Source organism: Homo sapiens, chromosome 2 (genome assembly GCF_000001405.40).
Source record: "Homo sapiens chromosome 2, GRCh38.p14 Primary Assembly".
In the NCBI taxonomy this organism is placed as follows: Eukaryota; Metazoa; Chordata; class Mammalia; order Primates; family Hominidae; genus Homo; species Homo sapiens.
The window spans coordinates 65,266,409-65,277,769 of record NC_000002.12 but is presented as its reverse complement, the minus strand read 5'-3'; the positions used below and the strand labels follow the sequence as shown (position 1 = coordinate 65,277,769).

At 39.5% G+C, this 11,361-nt stretch overlaps 1 protein-coding gene across 2 annotated transcripts in view, besides 1 other annotated feature; it reads right to left on the bottom strand.

Annotated features, from left to right (window-relative positions):
- Positions 2,010–2,677: an enhancer, noted in NCBI's record as "OCT4-NANOG hESC enhancer chr2:65502227-65502894 (GRCh37/hg19 assembly coordinates)". NCBI's record gives its function as "activates a minimal SCP1, AML or CMV promoter by ChIP-STARR-seq in naive and primed H9 embryonic stem cells {active_cell/tissue: H9 hESC(naive and primed)}" and the evidence as "EXISTENCE:reporter gene assay evidence [ECO:0000049][PMID:30033119]".
- The window catches only part of ACTR2 (actin related protein 2), a 43,423-nt gene continuing 38,578 nt past the window's right edge, over positions 6,517–11,361 (bottom strand). For both annotated transcript variants that reach the window (NM_001005386.3, NM_005722.4), the window contains one exon: positions 6,517–9,206. In NM_001005386.3, the coding sequence (NP_001005386.1) occupies positions 9,036–9,206 (171 nt within the window). In that variant the 3' untranslated portion in view covers positions 6,517–9,035. The remainder of the gene's footprint in view (positions 9,207–11,361) is intronic.

Genomic DNA, 11,361 nt, shown 5'->3' with positions numbered 1-11,361 from the left:
CTCTTAAGTCTCAGTCTCCTCATCTACAAAGTGGTGATAATTCCTACTTGCATTAAGTGAGAATGCTGGCAAATGCTTAAGGTACAGTGCCTGGCACTTCACAGACACTCATAAATGGTGACCTTACAGCTTTGTCGTGTCCTCGCTGTTGTTCTCATTGCTTCCTTTTTAGCTCTCTTAATTAACGTAGGGTCTGAAGACCATGGTTGGCTCTGCCCGCAGAAAGTCAAGGAACTTTAAAAGTTCAATAAACACGTTTGAGATGCATTCTTGTTCTCCAAAAGGCAGTAAACCAAGGCAGAAAAATGCACCCCTTTTCCAAAAGGGATTTGAAACAAAGCCCTTTGGAAGCAGATGAGACTGGTAGCATGTTCCTTTGTGAGCAAGATTAGGCACAAGAATGAAGCAAGCCAGCAGTTTTCTCAAGGTATACAGTGGCACCCTGGAGAGTAAGCCCGAAGAGTCTCAAGAGTCCCCAGGCGGAAAAGCCTTTGCCTTCATTCTCTTAGGAAACTCCTAATTAAGTGAAACCTTCTGTACAAACATACCAAGATTTTTTATTAATATCATTTAGTCTGTAGCTTAATTCTTACAAAATTTCCCTGGTTTCTGATTCACATTTTTCTAAGTGCAAAAGACCCCTTCCTAAGAGTGTCACCTCAATTTCTGGAAGTGGAGCCAGGTATCTGCATTGTCACTAGCTCAAGAGAGTCTCAGGCACCCCAAAGTTTGAGAATCACTGGCCCGAGTGTTGCTAGAAATGCTCGGAGAAGGGGCGAAGGTGGGAAAAAATGGAGCACCTACGGAGACTCGGAATTCACAGTCTAAATGGAAATCGTTTACACTGATATTGTCACAAATCCAAGCTATCTGGGGTGAATGGTTTCCTGATTTTTTCTCCATAAATCAATGTGGATATTCTTGGCAAGCTCTGCTCCTCTGCAGGGTGGGCAGCTGTGAGTCAAGCTGCCTCCTCTTCTCTTGACCTTGTCTTCCTGCTTTTTGCAGATGCAATTCTTTCCCTGTCTGCCTCACAGCTAATTATTTCAGCAGACAAGCTCAGAGCCTGAAGAAAACAGGGTGTATTCTTGAAAGTAGTAACTGTACTGAAATTTAGTGGGAAAAGTTTCTCCTTTAGCCCTATCTTCTGAATAAAATCAGCTAGTGGTGTGAGCTGCCATTTGGTTTAGGTTGACAGTTAGCAAATCATGCCTTCTGAGTTTAAGGTACTCTTTAGTATTCTATTTTATCCTAACAGTTCAGGGAACTTGGGAGCAGCAAAGGTTTTTGCGATCTGGGCCAAAGTCACAAGTTTTCTAGTTTCAATGGTGGGGATGGGGGTGGAAGAACCATAAATCCAATCCTCTTTAGACTCTTAAAACATGGAATTTCATTACATAAATCATTCTCTTCACGTATTTGTTCAAAAGTGCAACAAAACAAAGCTTTCATTTAGGATATTCAAGGAAGCCTGTCTTACTGTTATTAAAGCACCTGAGGGAGGATTTGTGTTGGCTCACACCACAAATCTTAGCTTCTTTTGAATGGTATGAACAGAAAAAAAATGTTTAAGGCATAAAAGAGTTGCTATGAAATGGAAATGATGAAGATCATTTTCATGCAACACTAAGACTGGTCGGATTAACCAAAAGAAATCAACATAAAGTTGTCATACCATTTAAAAAATAGTAGCTTAAAGTCAGAAGATAGTTTTCCTCACACCACCTATACCTTGTGTTTCAAAAACACAAATGGTGAACACTGGCACTCCCCAAATCCACATTATGAACTGCATTCTGTATTAGGGGACCATGTCAGTTTTGATATCATAAGAAACATAATTATAGCAGTCATTAATGTGTGGACTGTTGGTCACCATAAACAATTCAATACTTCCACTTTTGAACAAGTTGCATCCAAAAGTTCATTTGTCAGTTGCATAGAACTTGAAATACATACATGCTCTCTAAAAGTAAAGCTACATCTGGTAGGTTGGTTTCTTGGCCTGATTATAAATCACTTTCATGTATCAAGCAGCTAAACTTGTAGCATTAGCTGTACTAGCTTGAGTTCAGGAAGCTGGAACACTGCAAGTCGGAAGCGAGGAGAAAGGAATGTTGAAATGAGCAGTTTGCTTTGGTTATTTTACCACTTCCAGCACTCAACTCTCATCTACCAAGGTGAGCTTGCCCTAAAAAGTGAGCTTGCTCTAAAAACTGAATTTCCTCAGGAACCTACCAATTTTCTCCAATGCACTCCTTAGGCCAAAGTTACAGACCTTCCTTTCACTTACATCACAAAGAGCTGCTAATCTCCCCTAGGCGTCAGTGTGAGTCTCTGGATTTCCTTTTAATACAAATGGATGTGTAAATGACTGATGGTGCTTTAACCATCCCAGAACTGGCCTTTTTAATGAAAAGGTGTTTATCATCCATTTGAACTGAAGATCCATTTGGGGGAGGTGGAGCAGAGGTCAGCACACTGGCAAAAGATGGTCTCTAAGTGGTTCCGGCTTCCCAGGGCTGCTTCCTGTGTCACTTCTGAACCCATCTGCTAAAAGCCCTAGTTTTCCCCAGGAAGAGGAGGAAAGAAGGGCATTGCAGGTGTGGGCCCAGGAGAGTGGTTCATACTTTGAAGCCTGACTGTCCTCTTAGCCCCTAAAACAGGAGTATGAGAGTTGTGGGGGAAGAGTTGGAAAACAAGCAAACCCTCAGGCTCCATTCGGTGGTCCAGAGTGGGGCTCAAGGAAGCCTGCTTTTTTTTTTTTTTTTTTTTTTTTAAGATGGAGTCTCGCTCTGTCACCCAGGCTGGAGTGCAGTGGCTGATCCCAGCTCACTGTAACCTCCACCTCCTGGGTTCAAGCCATTCTCCTGCCTCAGCCTCCTGAGTAGGAATAGTTGGAATTACAGGCGACCGCCACCATGCCCGGTTTGTACTTTTAGTAGAGACAGGGTTTTGTCGTGTTGATCAGGCTGGTCTCGAACTCCTGACCTCAGGTGATCCCCCACTGCCTTGGCCTCCCAAAGTGCTGGGATTACAGGCGTGAGCCACCGCGCCCCGCCTAAGAGCCTGCATTTTTAACAAAAGGAACATGTGATTCTGACCCCATACTGAAAAAGACATTTGAAGGACAAGTAATTTGTTTTAAAAATACAGATAATCATACTTTAGCTACATCACTTCCTGTGGGATGTTTTCATTTTAGAGACTCCTTTAGAATTCCAAGTTGTGTAAGCAGGGAACTTAGAGGTTGAATATTATCTGCTTGAATTCCACCTAAACTACTAAGTAAAAGCAAAACAAAGAGGACAGCCTCCTTAATTGATTCTTTGAATCAAGGTCCTTTAAATTGTCACCATAGTTTAGGTTCCACTCCTTCCTAATAGCTCTTAAATAAAAATTAATTAATGCCAGAAGCTTTCAAATGTAGATCTAAGTTAGCAGGGAAAAAAAAAACACATCTGGAGGTAAATTGTAGGTTTCCAATAAAGGGGTCAAATGTGTATTATCAATTTAACAACTGAGCCTCATTTAGGCCCAAATTTCTTACTCTTCAAACACTAAGTTGTCACAAAATATAAAAATATAAGAATATATACATGTAAACATAAGAAAATATGAAAATATAAGAATTAACAACTCAGGAAACCCTTAGATTTTTATATATTATTATTATTGAGATGGAGTCTCGCTCTGTTGCCCAGGCTGGAGTGCAGTGGCATGATGTTGGCTCACTGCAGCCTCTGTCTCCTGGGTTTAAGCAATTCTCCTGCCTCAGCCTCCTGAGTAGCTGGGATTACAGGTATGCGCCACCACACCTAATTTTTTGTATTTTTAGTGGAGACAGGTTTTGCTATGTTGGCCAGGCTGGTCTCAAACTCCTGACCTCAAGTGATCCGCCTGCCTCGACCTCCCAAATTGTTGGGATTACACAATGCCCAGCAAGATTTGGTTTTCTAAAGTAAAATAGATCGCTTAATTTTCTTGTGCACAGACACCTCGAAAAAAATCTCAACCCCTACAGAACATCAAGGCACTCACATAAACATACTCATTTAAAATGATCCAATTAATATTGTGGCAGACTTTTAGAATTTCCCTAATTTCTTAAAACCTCCTTTGATATTAATGCATTTGCATTCACATTTTTATGATTACATTTTCTGTTTTTTGAGATGGAGTTTCACTCTTGTTGCCCAGGCTGCAGTGCAATGGCACAATTTCGGCTCACCACAACCTCTGCCTCCCGGGTTCAAGCGATTCTCCTGCCTCAGCTTCCCAAGTAGCTGGGATTACGGACTTGTGCCACCACACCTGGCTAATCTTGTATTTTTTAATAGAGACGGGGTTTCTGCATGTCGGTCAGGCTGGTCTCGAACTCCGACCTCAGGTTACTGGCCCCCCTCAGCCTCCCAAAGTGGTGAGATTACAGGCCTGAGCCACCGTGCCCGGTCGTAATTACACTTTTATGCACAAAAAGTATAATTTTAAAAATCCTTATCCTTGAGAGTTGAGGCCCTTTTTCAAACCCATATTTAAGGAAGAACAAATATTTTACTCACTGGAGTTTTCTTTTTACCGATTTTTTAAAGCATTCATCAGGCAAAAGCTCCACTTGCTGTGAATGGCAAAGGGTACAGTTCTTAAAGGCTACCCTGGGCATAAGAATCACTCTGTAATACCTTTGTGATTGCTTTCTGCACTTGCCAAACCCAAACCTTTCAACTGGTCCATGAAAATCTACTCAACATTCTCTAATTCTTCTATTCCTACGTCAAATGTTTCATGGAAAATTATATGCCAAGTCTTTTCCAGTCTTTCCTTTTTTCCTCTGGTGGGTGGGAGGAGTTGAGGGGGTAGATATGAAAGAGACAGGAACTCCATTCTGCCAAAAGGAAGAGATAAATCATTTGAATTCCCCCTACTCAGATATTTTACATCTGCAGATAACGCAAACTGAGACACTTATAATAGGCAACAAGACTTTTTGTCACTGCCAGTCTAGATAATTTAAACAAAAGTAACTATGGTTCAATAGCTTCTTTCTTCCTAATTTCAGATGTTAAACAATACAAAGAAAGATGCTTTAGAATGTTTTTAAAATGTTATATTAATGTGAACATCACTTGAAATTTTTGTAATAGCTGCCTATTTTCACCTCCTCTAAATCAAGTTTATTTCTATTCTATGACTAAAAGTTACTTTCAATATAATGGTTAAAGTCACTAATTTTAGCCTTTTAGTTATTCACACATGCAAACATGCTTTCCCAGGTACGTCCCCTTACCTCCTCCACTTACCTCTGATGTAGCATTTTTCAATCTTCAAAGAGGTCAGAGATTTTTGAGCCAGAGGAAAAAAGTATCCCAGTATTGTGTGTAGTTGGCCAATTAGTCCAAGGTTAGAGAGCATGTTAAATATTGAGCTTAGCCGGCCGCGGTGGCTCACGCCTGTAATCCTAGCACTTTGGGAGGCTGAGGCGGGTGGATCATCTGAGGTCGGGAGTTCGAGACCAGCCTGACCAACATGGAGAAACCCTCTCTACTAAAAATACAAAATTAGCCGGGCGTGGTGGCGCATGCCTGTAATCCCAGTTACTTGGGAGGCTGAGGCAGGAGAATCGCTTGAACCCGGGAGGTGGAGGCTGCGGTGAGCCAAGATCGCTCCATTGCACTCCAGCTGGGCAACAAGAGTGAAACTCCGTCTCAAAAGAAAGAAAAAATCGAGTTTAGATTAATCCTCGAGTTTCTGGTTCACTTTAGTTGGCTACCCTCTTTGATGGTTCTAAAATTAATACAGTTAATAAACTCACTCAATTGTATAATGGTCAAAGTTTGTGGGTGGAGGAAAAAAATGAAGTGCACTGAGAGACATTCATTCCATCAAAGGCACTATGCAGTGCCTGGTATTTTCTTCCTCCATTACATATGGAGATAGCTGTTATCATATTCTTCTTCCGCAACTCAGAAGAAACTAGATAAAACACCAGAGACAACCCTTACGTTCGCTGTCTGGGACTCCGGCCCTGAAGCGGGCAATGAGGTTTGCACATACAAGTCCACGAAGAAGGAAAGGCAAAAATACTCTCTCTACTCTCCAGCCCTCATCCTCAAGGCTAGTATAAAACAAGAAAAGGTCAGTTAAATGTATTTTCATCCTTCTTTTATTTGTTAAAAATAATATGCCTAAAAGTCTGCAGATGAGCTAATATGTCCTTGAAAGGGGGCATGTTACATACAGGTCTCTTTAGCATTTCTAATTCTGTGAAAGCCACCTTAAATCTTTTGGGAGACAAAACAGTTTGTTGGAAGAAAACAGCCTCTGATGTAGCTATAAATCGCTATTCTATTTTCTTATGTATTTATAAAATCATACCAGAAATAATGAGTTGTTTTGTCAATAATAGAACACTGACATGAACTTGACCTAACAACTAGCATAAACTGTCAATTCATCTTGCATTAACAAGAAAATGAAACAAGAAATAACTATTAGAAAGAAATGACAAAATTCAAATTGACTTTGAAAAAATCTGATTTTATTTTCTCAATCAAAATGAAGTATTTCATGTTAATTTAGACTGTTTAGCTTTCCACTGATATCTCAAGATACTTTCCAGATATTAACAGTACTCAGAACTGTGTAAAAGTTAACCACCAAAACCATGTTTTAAAGAAAAAAGTTTAAATGTAAGACTAATGTCTTGGGGACTTTACTAAATGTATTTCTAAAAAAACCCTTCTCAAATGTAGAAGTATTGGCAATTCTAATTTAAAAATTTTAAATTTTTAATTATTGGAAATTTAAGTAGCAATAGTTTCAAGAGCTAAGAATCAGATTGCTTTTTAAAACAGAATTTTTTTTTTTTCCTGAGGGACTCATACTTGACAACTCCAGTTAAACATAATACTCCACCCAAATCCCAAATTTAAATGCATTATGTCACCCTGGAATAGTAAAATTATAAAATGGTATTTCTAAATTATAATATATATACATAATGCACCATTTTAACTGTCACATTTACCAGCAGAATTATGAAATCAAAAACAAATTCTACATTCAAGGGACAAACGATAAATGCTCTTTCATTGTTTTAAGAGTCCATTCCATTCTTTGTTGTTTTCTACTCCCATATTTTAAAATTATGACCAAAGGAGCCTGAAGGCCAAGTCAATCCCATTTCCCTGAACCCAACTGCCAGTAGGTACGGGCCCTACATACGCGTCCTTTAACAAGCCCCGTTCTCAAAAGGCTGGGGGTATTTATATAAGAACTTATTCCAAAGTGACTCTAAGATCCATGTTCCCAAGATCTAGTACGGGCTATTCAGGGTTCTGAGGCATGTCCAGCATGCAGGCAAACTTATCTGTTCAAATTGAGGTAAAACAGACAAAAAACACTTAATATTAACAGAAGCTACATAATTAAAACTAACCTTCTGCTGCTTATTTAAGCTAATGATGTATTCTTACCAAACAGAGACCCTCAAGTCAATCATTTCTTTTGATTTTAGTTACCACCCCCAAATTAAGCCTCTTCTTTCAAAGCTATTATTAGTTAAAAAAAAGTTTTAAAATGAAGAAAAATATTTTTTCCAGAACTTGTATTTTGTAATTAGTGTGATGCAATTTCTTTTTATTTTTCAAACTTAGAAATAACTCATGTATGGTACTATTTGGTATTTTTTTCAGATACCAAGGAATACCGACAGGATTCATAAATAGGATTTTCTGACACTGGCAGGAAAGTCTGCTAACGTTTACAAAATACCAAAGACTCTTCTTTCAAGCTTCAAAGATGGCTGAGAATTAACAGTTATGATTAGTTTTTCAGTACAAATAAAAAAATTAAATCTTGATTTTTTTGGCCAACATTTTAAACAGTCAAATTTTACTGTATTTCCAGGTTTCAAATCAAAACAAACAAAACAACTAATGAAAATTACCCAATTGGCAACAAGTCCTGTATTCCAATGTTATTTTTAAACCACCAATTATAACCTACTGCCAGTAATTATTTGTAAGTACCTGCTTGTTTTATTAAGCACTGGTCAGTTATATAAAAGAATAATTTGCAAGAATGATACTTGGCAATGGGTTACCTTAATGCTTCTGGAATAAACAGAAGCATTAACAAAACACCAGATCTTAAGCTCTTTTAAATCTGTAATTCGAATTACCCAAAGGATTTTTAAATGTTACTTTTCCATTGAAGGACTGTAGGGAGTCTAATCCCAGCTAACATGGTTGATTTTAAAAAACAAATAAATCCCTAAGCCACATAGTAATGGAATACTACACTTGCTTTTTATATCATATGGAAACAGCTCCAGGCAGAGCACAAGTAGAAGAAAACCTGCCAAATCAAAGTACTGTAAATAAAGTTCCTCTACGTACTCCAGTTGACAAAACCTCAAAAATAAAAATCAGAAGACCACCCATTGTTACCCTCCCCCCCGCAACAAAACCCACCCAAAACACTTTAGTTCTGAACCTAACATTTCCCTAAGAAGTTCACAGGAGAAGCTTTAAGGTACTTAAAGCTGCAGCAGTACAGTTGAAAGCGCCACATTACAGAGGAAATGCCCTAAAGGGTTCAGCAGCTGCCCACCCATCCCGAACCACCCCCCATCCCAGTAATATGTAAAAGCTCCTGTTAAAGTTTTTTTTGTTTTATGCTAATAAAGGCATACCACCTAGTGTGCTAAAGACTACGACTAGCAGCATTAGAGCAGTAAAGTGAAAATAGGAAGCCTATAGGAATGATCTAAATGCCTACTTAGAAGAAACAAAGCAGCAGACAGAATCCTTAGCCCTCTAGTCTATGTAGGGAAGCAGTTGAATTAAACTCAGATTTACCCACATTAACAAAAATTTAACAAAGCTTCCCCAAGACACCAGAATAAAACTTGACCTTTCCAGTCAAAGGGCAGAGAGAGGCCTCTTCCATGTCCTGGAGTTGAATGAGTTCAAAGATTGGCAATAAAGGAAAAAAGAAAGCATTACGGGTATGACGGGAACAAGCTTTGGAGTTTATCGAACAGTCACACCAAGTTTCTCTAGCACACGGACACCCTTTTCTTGGTACTCTTGTCGGGTCATCCAAAAGTTGTCTTTGTCTTTCATGATATCCGCTAGAACTGCACCACCCAGGAATACCATGTGCTTTCTGCGGGGTGGGTCTTCAATGCGGATCTTAAATTTCTAAAGGAGAAAGAAAGGATAATGAAATGGTACATGTGCACAGTGCTTTCTGCTTTATGAAAATGGCTTTTTAAATATATGCTCTCCCTCAAACTTGCAACAGTCCTGTAATATAAGTAGAACGTAATATTTGGTACCTGAGGTACAGAAACATTTAGTAATTTGCCCAAAGCTCATGTTTAGGAGACCACACATCCATCCCAGCATGCTTGGAACAGTCCTGATTTACACGTGGTGTCCCATCATTATTAATACCACCCTTTCCATTCTTGAGTGTCCTAATTTGATCAGTAAATTACATGACTTAACACCCTACTGAGAGACCAAACATCCAAGACATAATTAGAGCAAATTTCCCATCCAATGGCAGATGACCACTTGGGAAAGTCACTTTGCTGTCAAGCAAAGTCTGGATAAGAGGACTTGCATGGCTGGGTGTGGTGGCTCAAGTGTAATCCCAGCACTTTGGGAGGCCAAGGCGGGCGGATCACGAGGTCAGGAGATCGAGACCATCCTGGCTAACACAGTGAAACCCCGTCTCTACTAAAAATACAAAAAAATTAGCCGGGCATGGTAGTGGGTGCCTGTAGTCCCAGCTACTCGGGAGGCTGAGGCAGGAGAATGACGTAAACCTGGGAGGTGGAGCTTGCAGTGAGCCCAGAGACTCAATCTCAAAAAAAAAAAAAAAAAAAAAAAAAAAAGAGGACTTGCATGACTTCTTCAAGGTCTCATACTGTTATGATTCTAGTCCAGGGCAATAGAGTAAAACTGAAGTTCTTTTCTTTTAAGCAAAGCTTACTTTCTATTGTCTCAAAATCAAATGAAATGTTCTTAAAATAAACAAGGCCAAATATGGTCAAAACAAATCATCAGGATGTTATGAGAAAATGAACACAGTAACCAAAATTAAAGGCAATTGGGAAAAGTTTTATACTCTGTAGCTACTATTAAGTGTCTAGGAAGGACACATCCTTATCTTTATGGTTGGTCAACACCTGAAAGAGAAACCTTAAAATGACATAGCAAGTTTTTCATTTACAGTATCACGATCTGCAAAAAAGACCCAATGTAACTATGTCATTCTAAATCATTTGTATATTTATGTCACATAAATGAACTGTAAGGGTTCTAACAATCCAAGATAAAGAAAAACATCAGTTTATTTACCAATTCTGAGACTGTTTTAATTGTTCCTTTTACTTTCTTGCTCTTACATAGGGGTCAGCAAACTTTTTTTGTGAAGGGCCAGATACTTGAGGCTTTGTAGGCGTGACAAGTACCCAACCCCACATGTAGCTAGAAGGTGCCCACAGACAATATGTGACAACAGGTAACATTATGTAAACAAATGGGCTTGGCTGTGTTCCAATAAAACTTAAAAAAAACAAACAAACCAGTTTTGGCATAAGGGCTATAGATGACCACCTCTACTCTAAGGGAAACTTAGCTAGCCCCTGAAGACACTGCTTCTGTAAATACCTCAACTGCTTTACTGTTTCTCTCTCACACACTACCTTAACCCTGGAGGTTTGGTAATATGAGTTATTGCTCTTCATTGCTGCTTCTATCTCGCTCATCCCTAAAACTCCATAGCCCCACTGAAACTCATTCTATCAGATCATTCCATCTACCACTCCCTCCTTGCTGAACTCATCTACAGATTCCTACAGACAAATTGCACCTGCTGTCAAGCAGCTGAACAAGATAGGAAAGAAACAAAACATCTTGCTATAATGTATCACTAACCTCAACTGAGCCCTTCCTGCTGCATGGCAATCCTATTACATTTCTCTATTCTCGCTTCCATTCTCCAAAACAACCATTTCAACCTCCTCCTCTATTCTAAAACTCTACCATCCCTCCCCTCCTCTCAGTGCCTCCTAACTGGTCTCTCTATGCCCACCTTTGTTCCCTCTTCCCCCAAGAGTCTATTCACCACACCAGACTTAATGATCCTTTAAAAATATACATCAGATCCTATCATTTCTCTGCTTAAACCGCCCCCACACCCAAGACTTTCCATTTCACCAGGAGTCAAGCCAAACCCTTTACCATGGCTGAACAAGACCTGCCCTCCTGCTACCCTTCTGACCTCATATCCCACCTGCCCCCCTCCCTTGCTCACTCTGCTCCAGCCACACTGGCACACTCCCAC